At 33.1% G+C, this 11,998-nt stretch overlaps 1 annotated feature.

The window, feature by feature from the left end:
• Positions 7,142–7,311: an enhancer, noted in NCBI's record as "experimental_74681 CRE fragment used in MPRA reporter constructs". NCBI's record gives its function as "activates a minimal promoter by MPRAs in K562 erythroleukemia cells, with activity observed for both the introgressed and non-introgressed 4:138316198 variant alleles {active_cell/tissue: K562}" and the evidence as "EXISTENCE:reporter gene assay evidence [ECO:0000049][PMID:34662402]".

Genomic DNA, 11,998 nt, shown 5'->3' on the forward strand with positions numbered 1-11,998 from the left:
CTCCACATATTGGAGATCATATTTGGTTAGGAGCATTTTTTGGAGTCTGATTTAAATATTCAATTGACTCTAAGGACCACCACACAATGAACTGAATAAACAACATTTCAAAGCAGAAAGAAAGACCCTATCGTTCATAACTGTCTTCCCCATTCCTTAGCATATGGTTTTTTTAAAACAATTTCATTAAAGGAACAATGAATGCATCCCAAACTCACTTCACCATGAATTCATTATTAAAAAAAAAAAAAAGGACAGGGAAATGAAATCACGTCTGTAGACTTCTGGAAACAATCATGCTGTATGAGTCAGACTGAGGGTCAGTACTTCTTTGCCAGAATACCATAGGATCATGCTATTGAAAATCTAACCAACATATAAAGTCGTAAAGAGAAAGAAAAATAAATGAAAATTCACATTATTGCAGATTGTATAGTTTGATGCTATGTGAATGGTCTTCATTTATGGCTAGGAATTGCAAGACTGCTGTGAAAAGTGGCAATTATACCTTGAAAATAAAAGACTGCAGTAATATCAGGACAGATATTAAAACAATAATGTGATTTAAAGGGTGCTTTTTAGTACTTATAGCTTCCCAACATCTGTCCTTCAAGGTGGGGAAATATACATTATTTTTTAAATTTAATCATACCTATCTATATATATTTTGTACTCCATGCATCTTGTAATGATTGGAAAAAAAAACTGTCCCGGAGACATCTCTTTTAATGTCACTATGCATTTTGTTAGTTTGTTTAACCATCAGACAAACACTAACCAAAATAGAGTAGATCTGGAAGATATGCTTTTGAATTCACACTTGAGGATATAGGTACATTTATGGATCTAAGGATATCTTTTTATTCTATTGTTTATTTTTGTAGTGGTGACAGTATATCCTTGTTGTATATGTATGTGTATTTATACATACTTATAAATAAATATAATAGGTATAAAATTTAATCAAAGTGTCAAGCATTCTTGGGACACTATTTTTTAACTTAACTGAGAAAAAACAGTGACAAGTTAAGAAAATATTGACAATTTAGTATCTCATGTGAATATTAAGTTGCAGCTTTCTATATTCTCGTTTATGTAAACAAAGAAAAACAATATATGGCTGGGCGCGGTGGCTCATGCCTGTAATCCCAGCACTTTGTGAGGCCAAGGAAGGAGAATCACCTGAGGTCGGGAATTCGAGACCAGCCTTAACAACATGGAGAAACCCTGTCGCTACTAAAAATACAAAAAAGCCAGGAGTGGTGGCACATGCCTGTAATCCCAGCTACTTGAGAGGCTGAGGCAGGAGAATCTCTTGAACCTGGGAGGAGGAGATTGCAGTGAGCTGAGATCGCGCCATTGCATTCCAGCCTTGGCAAGGAGCAAAACTCTGTCTCAAAAAAAATGTATAAATATATATATATGGTAATGTCTGTCAGTAATATCAAAAGATGAACAGATAGTTGATAGCATAGACAGATGTATAGATATTACCACAAACATGCACATATTTACACACTACTACACAACTCGAGGCCATTCTGGCATTATATAATCATGGTCAGTAATGAATGTTTGCACAAGTCTTTTGAAAATTCCATATAACTAATTTGATATTGTTCATTAAATTTAAGAATGACTTAAAAATACATTAAAATTTTTTCTTTTCATAGTGAAACAATTACTATTATCTTTCAGGCCATGTAATTACTTTATTTCAGAATTGTAAACAAAAAGAAACAAACTAAAATAAGAGGCCTGATTTTAGCAATATGCCATTTTATCTTTGTAAAGTCCGCCATACAATTGTTAATTGTGTAGCCTCCATGTTTCTTTACCAGAAAGACAACTGATTACATGACAACATTTTGCTGATATATTAATGATACCATTAACAATTTATTGCAAAATTTCTTCAGTCTTTAGAAAGTTAACATGTGCATGCAATATAATATCAAAGAATTGTGACGCTCATTCCATTATATCTTTATCAACGAAAACAGAAGTTAATAATTATTCTTTAGTGTTTTTATGAATAATAGAGTAAGTATAAAAACATCAACTACATACATTTTTAACAAAGAATTTTTCATTTCCATTATTTAACATTTACTCTTTAATTAATTTTTAATAGGATATAAATAATGTTGACAGGTGGTTATTGATGGAACTGATTAAAAAGCTTCATTCATTCATCTATTTTTTCAAATTCAAATTTGCATTGTTTTTGGAATGAGTTTCAAATAGTCTGCCAAATTCTCATGATACAGAAATGAATGAAACATGGTCCCCGCCTTAGCAGTCTGGTAGACAATGTTGATTTGCAAACATCCAACATTTTACATTCAGTGTAAAATAAAAGTGTATCCAGAGATCCAAATCTCATAAAAATATTTTTCCTCATGCATTTGTCTCACTTTTCTACATTTGTAAATGTAATGTATTTCTTAATAAATTTGTTCTTCAGAATTAGAGTTTTTGTCTTCCTGTTCTTCATGATTGTTTTCTTTGGCAACATCTCCAAGTAAGTGCATTCTTACATCCATTGCATTGCTTATGCCTAAAACTAGACAGACTAAATGAAGTGCTAAGTGTGTTAGACAAATTATTTATGCTAAAAGTTATTTTTGCAAGTGAACTGACCTGGAAATTGTGGATTTTGCCTTTTTATTTTTCTAGTATAGAATATCCAATTTTAGATATTTTAAGAAATAACTTTTAAAGCTTTGCATTTAACTGTTAAAGAAGTATGTCAATACATAATTTAAAACTTGAACTAATATTTGCTATATCTTCATGTTTCTTGTCTGCCAGAGTTTAGTGCTAAGAGAACTAGATTTGTACTAGGAGCCCAGAGCACTTTTTATCTGGTTAGTATGAAAGCTTTTTAATTTTCAATAGGTATTGTTTCTTAAAGCATCAATTTTTTAAAAACAAGAAAAAAAACAACTGAAATAACTGTTAATGTGGAAATCATTTTGTTTTAGGAGCAAATGTGAAAAATGATGCAATCTGCAGATAATAAAACTCTAGTTGTTTTGAGGTCAAAATAATCAGTATTATTTTTCTCTTGAGCAACACAGGAAGTAAAGAGACATTTTCATTAATGCCATCTGGCTCACAGATGTCATTTACTGTGAATTTTAGAAATATATGAAAACCTTATGGCTAATCTGTTTTGTAACACATTCATTTTTATGGCAGGATAAAAGGCCTAGTAGATATTATAGACATATTTAAAGAGGCTATATTTACATATTTATTAAAGCTAAAATATTATGTTACTAAATGATAATTTTTCCAAGTAATCATTCCTATCTAAAATGGCATTCAATAATATTTGTTCACCAAACCAAAGGATGACTTATGAATAAAATCCTTTTAAATTTGATTTTGTTGCTAAAGGATATGTGGTTATACACAGTGCATATATTAGAAAAACCCCTTATTCATTTAGTAATGCTCTTGATATGTTTTGGCTTATGGTTCAGTTCTTTTTAAATTTTGCTACATTCTTTGTTTCCACTTAAATTTGGCTTCTATGAAAACATTAAGAAATACTTTTTGTTTACCTCTTAGAAGGTATATACAATATGACACCTTTGGAGGTTTAATGTTAGAAATGCAGAAGCAGACCTTTAAAATGGAGTCCCCATTTTGCCAGTCATAAAGCAAAATCTGTGCGACACACACATCTAGGTATTTTTCATCCATATCTAGCTTGCTCACAATGACTTTCTCATGCATTACAAACAATCTGGCTCTTAATATAGTGTTTAAATGAACTTTAATGTGGCACATGACAGTCTTCTGATATAGTCAGTTATCAGTTCAGAGGTCGAATTACTGAATCTTACTCCCTACTATTCTTCCCACAGGGACATAAATTCTTAACCGTATCTAGAGTTCCTGCAATATAATGTCATATTCCCTTCTGCCATTTCACTGAGAGAAAGGTTATAAGTTCAGAAAATGCTAGCTGAACCAAACAGTTTATGATTTCACCTATAAACATTAGGGATACAAACATTTTCTCAACATCATGTGAACCACTGCCTGTCGTTTTGGGTCAGGTGTCTGTGTTCATGTGATAACACTCAGGTTCCATGAACACACATTACTGTGATTGCAGATTTCCCTTTAAACCAAAAACAACATTACATTTAATTATGACCTCACTGAAGCTTAGTTAGATGTATAATCAGTAAAAACGGAAGTAGAAAGGAAAGAGTTAGACAAGGTGAATGCATGATTTTAAAAAATGCCTGTATTTGCTCATGCTGTATTTTTACAATATATGAAAATCTGGCATTCTGGTTTCATAAATACATTCTACATTCTTTTCATTTTTCAGCCAGGTAATATATTTCCTAGAAAAGGTGTATATTGATAAAATTGCATCTGGAATTTCATCATTAGGTTTAGGCTGGAATAATTTAAATATGTTATTGTAAAACTAAATGTCAAGTTGATTGAGCCAGGATAACACAATAGCTTCTCTGAGCATGTTGGTGCACACCTTAGGCAACTGGCAGTCTCTTGACACAGATACGAACATGTCTTATAGAAAACATTGGTGGAAAGTAAGTGAACAGAATAATAGCCAAATATATCCAACTTACCTACCAAATCCATTCATCTGAGACTTAGATGAGCTTCAAAAGTCACAAACCAGATTTAAAGCTGTTCACCATACTGTTTATTCTATGAGACACTCCAACCGTTAACAATGTAAATGACTGCAATACTCAATACAATTTTCTAACACAATTACTTGGGTCACAGGTGTGACAATTTTTGAGCTATTGAAACTAACATGTTTGAGCTTCTGAAACAAACAGCTCTACAGTCAACTTAAAATCAATAACAGTATTTGATTTTTGTCATATTTGTTGCCTTCTAGAATTCTGATAGGTAGCATAATTCTGTAGTATTGATCAATATGCTATGCTGTGTGTCAATATGAAAAATACAAATGCCAATTTCAGTTACTTGGAAACAGTTTAGGAGAACTCATGGAAGGATTTCATCTATTTTTAACATTCCTGACCATAGGGGTTAGCAAATTTACCCTTTATAATCATTTATCTTGGCCAAAGTCAAGAATTCATTTACTATCCGAGTGAAATCACCCATGTTAGAAGAATGTCTAAAGGTTTTCTTTTGTTGTTGTTCATTTTCCAGTTTCTTTACTAATATGGGTACATTTATAATGGGAAATACTTTGAATAAAATATAATTTTATTCTTCAAAATGCGGACTTGAAGCAGCTGCTTTTCACAGTGTACATCTGCATAGTGTTATGGAATGAAGGTTTTTAAAATGAGTGCTTCAAAATACCACATTTATTTTCTTCCTTGCAGCTCAAATCCTCTCCCCGCCTGGTGTGTGTGTTCAGCTGGTTCTCCAAGCCTTGGTCACAGTCTCACTGACCTTGGTTGCCTGGTTACAAAATCCTCTTTGTGATTTGTGAGATGCTTGTCTTGATGGAGAGCAAAGGATTTTTTTTTCTACAGTAAACTTAAGGGAGTTTCTATTTCAGAGTAGAACATATTAAAACCAGTGTATCTTGCCAATTTATAATTTGCTCTTCATAGGGAATAAAATTATGAACTGGATTTTTTCCTATCCAAATTATATTTAATATTATTGCCAACATTTACTTCCTGATTCTAGAGAATAAGCATCTCAAACAGCTAGAGGGCTGCAGTCTAAGCTCCTTAAAAAATGAGGCAACTTTATAAAACATAAAGTATAAATATAATAATATGTTATGAAAATTGTATGTTCTTGTGAAGACAAATGTTTACATGAATCATTTGCAATCCACTTAATTTTCTCATTCTTTCTATAAATGAACTTGAGAGAAACTATATTTTTAATATTTTTGATGCTGGAAAAAATAGTCTGTGATATGCATTTTATTTTGTCATTATCCAAGTGCATTTCTCTTTCTAAAGTTCCATATCCCTATGATAGTGTCAAAATATATTGCTTGTCAGATACATATTTACTTAACTTTTACATCCAATTTTCTTAATTGTTTCTTTTTCCAAGAAAATAAGATCCACTCATGTGTATACACGCTTAAGGTGTGATTTTTGTGAGCTTATGCAAACGCAATAAAATAATAACATTTGTTTGTTGAAAGTGTATGGGTGCCTAATTCTGGAGATTACCTTTAATAGGAGGCAATGGGCAAACTAAATGTAAGTGGTGTGGTCAAGTCACAAAATAACAAGCCCATTGTATCAGAGATCCAGTTTGCTACTTGGACACTTGAGCATATAGTCCCTCTGAAGTTAGTATAATTGGTTCCAGCTGTTTAACTGTTGGGTTTTTTTTGGTTTTTTTTTTTGTTGTTTTTTTTTAGTTTTGAACAGGAGCCAACTTGGCTTGAAAGCTGTGCTACCAAAAAGAAGAGACTGAAGAATGATGCCAATGTATATATATGTATTTCTTTCAAGCCATTTTCCTGCAGCAGTTCATCTCAGGGCCACGATAATTCAAACACAATGATAGTGATAAAAGAGAAATGGGTTGTTTGACTGCTAAGAGGCAGCTGGCCTGATTAAAGCCAATATGAGTGAGAAAAAAGCTTTTCATTTTTAAACTTTTTCTTTGTGAAAGAATAATTTCCCTTCAATGATGTGGTAAATGATTTATTTTCATCCTCTAAGTACTTTATGTAACACAATTTTCTATAAGAGTTATTAGTAACTAAGGCAACACAGGGCCCTGGGTCTCCAAATTTAAGCTTCTTCATAATTTTTTTTCATTAATGTATTGAGTAAAACATATCTTTTGCAAGAATTCAAATATCAGATAATATTTTTCCTCTTTTCAAAATCATAGCAACATAAAGCATTATATAACTGAGACATAGCTCCAATATTATCTAAGAGGTGTATCCAAAGTCACACAACTAGTTAATGTCAAACATGGATTAAAGTCTTTTTATTTCTCGTTAATGAAAATCCTACTCAATGACATACTAGCCTTATGACCTACCTTGCCAAAAGTAATTTTTAACAGATAGTACTTTAAATAAACTGTAAAATTCCAAGCTAGTTAGTAAAAGTATATTAAAGTGTTAAATTTTTTTAAGGTATAAAGGTAAGATTTTCATTTTATAAAACGGGACAATTAAATGTGCTAAAAGTATTAGAAAGTATGCAGAAAGTATTAAAAGGAGTAATTTGGCAACAAGGTAGTCAAAAGGATAGTAACATTAAAAATATAGGCTGGGAACGGTGGCTCACGCCTGTAATCTCAGAACTTTGGGAGGCCCAAGTGGGTGGATCATGAGGTCAGGAGATTGAGACCATCCTGGCTAACATGGTGAAACCCCGTCTCTACTAAAAATACAAAAAATTAGCCGGGTGTGGTGGTGGGCACCTGTAGTCACAGCTACTCGGGAGGCTGAGGCAGGAGAATGGCGCGAACCTGGTAGATGGAGGTTGCAGTGAGCCGAGATCGTGCCACTGCACTCCAGCCTGGGTGACAGAGCGAGACTCCATCTCAAAAAAAATATATATATATACACATATATAGTATATATATGTATGCATATATATGCGTATATGTATGTATATACGTATATATGTATATATTTGTGTGTATATATGTATATATTTATGTGTGTGTGTGTGTGTGTGTATATACGTATATATATATACATAAAACAAGGTCAAGCTCGATGGGTCACTCCTATAATCCCAGCACTTTGGGAGGCCAAGATAGGAGAATTGCTGGAGGCTAGGAGTTCAAGACTAGCCTGGCAAACATAGCAATACCCATCTATTTAAAAAAAATAAAATAAATAAATAAAAATAAAACAACCAGGAGACCATGGCAAGAATGACAGCGCCTCCCAGAAAGTCACATTCAGAAGACAAAGAAATCAGTGATAGAAAAATTTTGCAGAAAGAAAAGTCAGGGCTTATGCAGAATTTCATAAAATGAATGACAGGTATTGCATTAAAAGAAAGTCCATATTTTGGATAATGAAACATTTATTTATTCAGAAAATACTTATTGAGCACCTGCTACCTGCCAAGCAGTCTTCTATGCACGGTGTTTAAGAGAAGAATAGTATGTCACCGATAGAAAGGGATAATATTATAGCTACATCTTTCTTTTTCACTAACTGTATTTGTTTGAATGACTTTTTCACATTTCTTATGTCTCTAGCAGAACCTGGAAAGGAATAATCATCTGATATATAAAATAATAAATAGAAGGGCCCTGTATTTTAGCACAATATTTTACAGATAAGTAACTTGACACCCCAAAGAAAAAAAAATGAATTGCTCTAGATCTTTAAAATGAATTGTTCCCCTCTCCTCTCCCCAAATCTCCTAGAAGTACCTTCTACTTTCTCCATTTCTGAGGATCTTACCTCCACTCTACTTATTCCGAATGAACCCTGAGTCAACATGTGAATTACAGGCAGAGAAAAACAGTTACACATCCTTTCTAACCCACTCCCATGAACTAATTAACTGAGTGCCCTTACCAAAAGGTCCTTTAAATTGAGAATAAATTAGTTTGACAAAGAAAGAATTACTGGCATTCACTTGTGTATCCCAACTCGATTTCTCCTCCACTTATATAAAACAGAAAATTCTTATGGCTAGGTAAGGGTGGGCTGATACTGGCCACATGAGGCTTTTCTTAGACCATAGTTTTATCAGTAGCTGGGACCCCAAATTCAGCTATTTGTCAACAGAGAGAAAACAATGGCTCTGCTCAGAATTACTCAGCCTTGGCACTGTTGACATTGGAAGCCAGATAATTCTTTGTTATGAGGGACTATTTTCTATGCTGCAGGATGTTTAACAGCATCTCCATCCTCTCCTCACTAGATGCCAGTAGAATGTACCCCCACACTCTGAAGTCGTGACAACCAAAAATGTCTCCAGGCATTTCTAATGTCCCCTGGGGGAAGGCCAAAATCACCCCCAGTTGAAAATCACTAATCTAGCTGATCTTAGTCCATCATACAAACATCCAGAAGCAGTTTCAGATGATAAAAGTCATGCTGGGAGATCTGTGCTCACAGATGGCTTGTGATGCTTTCCTCCATCTGCAGATCAGAAGTATACCTTAAGTTGTTACACCAGAAGTAAGTTCTTCTCTATGACTAACATACATTTAGGTATATTTGTTAGAGACAGGGACTGGATTCTTATTGGACCAGGAGCATTATTCTCTTAATGAGATGAATTTTATCAACACTGGAAACTAAAATACTTTCATAGTATGTGTCTGCCAGTAAAAAAAAATTTACTCTTTCTTTTTGATCCTATTGTATAAATTTTATGAAACAAACATATGCACGTTCTTTTTTTCTCATCTTCTAAGTCCAAATAATCACAAACAGAACTTTGTACCAATTGATCAGGTTTTCTTAGAATTCTCATAGCAATTAGCTGACTCTCACTTACCACATATGCCCATATCAATTTGGTGTTCAGTTTTGAGCAACTCAAACTTTAATATTAAGCCTAACTTTAATTCTTTGGCCACAGAAGACAACTGATATTTTCAGTAAAAATATAAAATAGCTTAGTGAAAATAGCCTGGTCTATTATATCCACTTTATTCTCAACCAACATTTCACAGGAGCATTCATTCTCATCAGATTTTTATATTTCTATATTCAATAAGGAAAAGAACAAATAAGCCAAGTACTTACAATAATTGGGACTATAAACAGAAATAAAAACGTTTGCCTGCTTTCTTATCATAAGCACTGAATAAAATGATATAAATATTTTATTCTTTAATATGTTTCAGTGCTGTAATGTTTATCAAAGTCATTTCAATGCCATGACAATTCTGAAATTATTCTTTTGTAACAGTGTTTGGGGTTTATCTATAAAATAACTCGTTGACTATGTTATCAAAAAACAAATGTGAATGGTTTGTTATTGTCCATTTTTTTCTTCCATAACTTTTCTTTACTCAATTAGTCAATACTGTGTGCTACATTAACAGGCTATAGCTTAAAACTGGTATTGCTGATTGGAATCCATCCTTAGAAAGTAATTTCATAATAGTTTAGTGTTTAGAACAAAAAATATTTTCAGAACTTTAAAATTTTTAGCATTCTTCTCTTATTTGCTTGATAACCTTGTAATTTCTCTATTGATTCTTCGAAACTTAAATTTTCACATAGCTTTGGAGGACTGTATTACCAGAAAATACTTTATGTATTTCATGTACACGTCTTAAAAAAAAAACTATTCCTCGAGGACATAAACTATTTCTTTGTATTCTATATGGAGTCTTACGAACAGTAGGTGTTCAATTACTATTTGTTGATAAATCATAAATACATGATTCATATATTTATGTATGTAATAGTTTTAAGATCCTAGCATTTGATTTTATATGCCTCTAAGATCCAGTGGCAGAAAAAGAGAATTTCCAGTAATGATATTAAAAAGTTATATACTATAGATAAGTTAATTCCACCCATGGTTTCTAAATACTCTTGTAGATTAATATTAGCTTTTGAGTATGATATATGATATTCAGTAGATAAACTGAAATATCAAATGTGTTTAAGATCTAACTTGACATATATTGAGCTTATTTATCTGATTTTATTTAGAGTTTATTTTAAGGAAATATAATCATTTCAAAATCTGGAAAGTGCACAGGAAAAAAATAGCTCTGCCTATGTTTTTGGCAATTGGAAATAAAATACAGGCTGGGTGCGGTGGCTCAAGCCTGTAATCCCAGCACTTTGGGAGGCCGAGCCAGGCGGATCACAAGGTCAGGAGATGAACATCCTGGGTAACACGGTTAAACCCCGTCTCTACTAAAAATACAAAAAAAAATTAGCTGGGCATGGTGGCCGGCGCCTGTAGTCCCAGCTCCTAGGGTGAGGCAGGAGAATTGCTTGAACCTGGGAGACGGAGGTTGCAGTGAGCTGAGATCACGTCACTGAACTCCAGCCTGAGCGACAGAGCGAGACTCCATCTCCAAAAAAAGAAAATACAAATCAACGATTTCCTCAAATTAATTTAATAATTGAAAAATATTGCCTGCAGTATTTCATACTTTTGCAAGATACAGTGACTTCCAATTTAAAGCTGTATTTCAGGAAGAAGAAAATATATTATTTTATTTTCTCTGAAAATAGTCTTTATTGCTATTGTGTTATATTCTCTGAAGATAGTATTTTCACTGCTAGTATATGACTCTGTGCTCATTTTCATATGTCAACTATCTCCTTCAACTGCCTTGGTGAAACTTTGGTATTTGGTCTAAAATATTGGCATTAAATTATTAATGTCTGAGATAACTACTTACAATGAACGGACTGAAATGGGTGTAGTTGGGCCCAACACGGTATCAGAGAGCCTGACACAGGCCCCAGTTAGAATCCTCTATTCATGTCATGGCTCTGCTTCTGATTCATCACTAGGCATAATGAAGAGCCAGACATTTGCTTATTGACTCCCACTTAAAACTTTAAGCCTTTCACGGTAGGTGGCTAAAGATTCACAAATTTAAATTATTTCTTACGGTACAATTTTATGTATGTGTTACATGTTTTAGAATTTAAGAAAAAGCAAGAGACTCTAACGTTTACTGTACACTCTCCATTTATGAAATGCAAATTTAAAACATATATAGGGCTGATTTTTTAAGCCTGTATTCCAGTAAAGTTTATAGTCCCAGTCCTGTGGTGGGCTCATCTCTTTAGGCATTTCAGAAAACTTCTTTTGGAAGAAGTTTTTTAGTCTGTGGTATGTTTTATTGACTTACCAAGTAGTGCTGCACTTTAAATTTGGATTTCATCTGAGGAAAAAGATGGAACTCATCTGGACCAAGACACATGAATAATGTAAGTGATGGATCTGGGCTGTGCCATTTTTGGCCCCAAATAGTCTGTGACTTTAATAGTTCTAAGATTGATTTTTATTTTTGCACAACTCACATCTTTGCAAAAATATATGAGAGGTTTTCCAAAATCTTTGTG

The sequence above is a fragment of the Homo sapiens genome, chromosome 4 (genome assembly GCF_000001405.40).
Source record: "Homo sapiens chromosome 4, GRCh38.p14 Primary Assembly".
Lineage (NCBI taxonomy): Eukaryota > Metazoa > Chordata > Mammalia > Primates > Hominidae > Homo > Homo sapiens.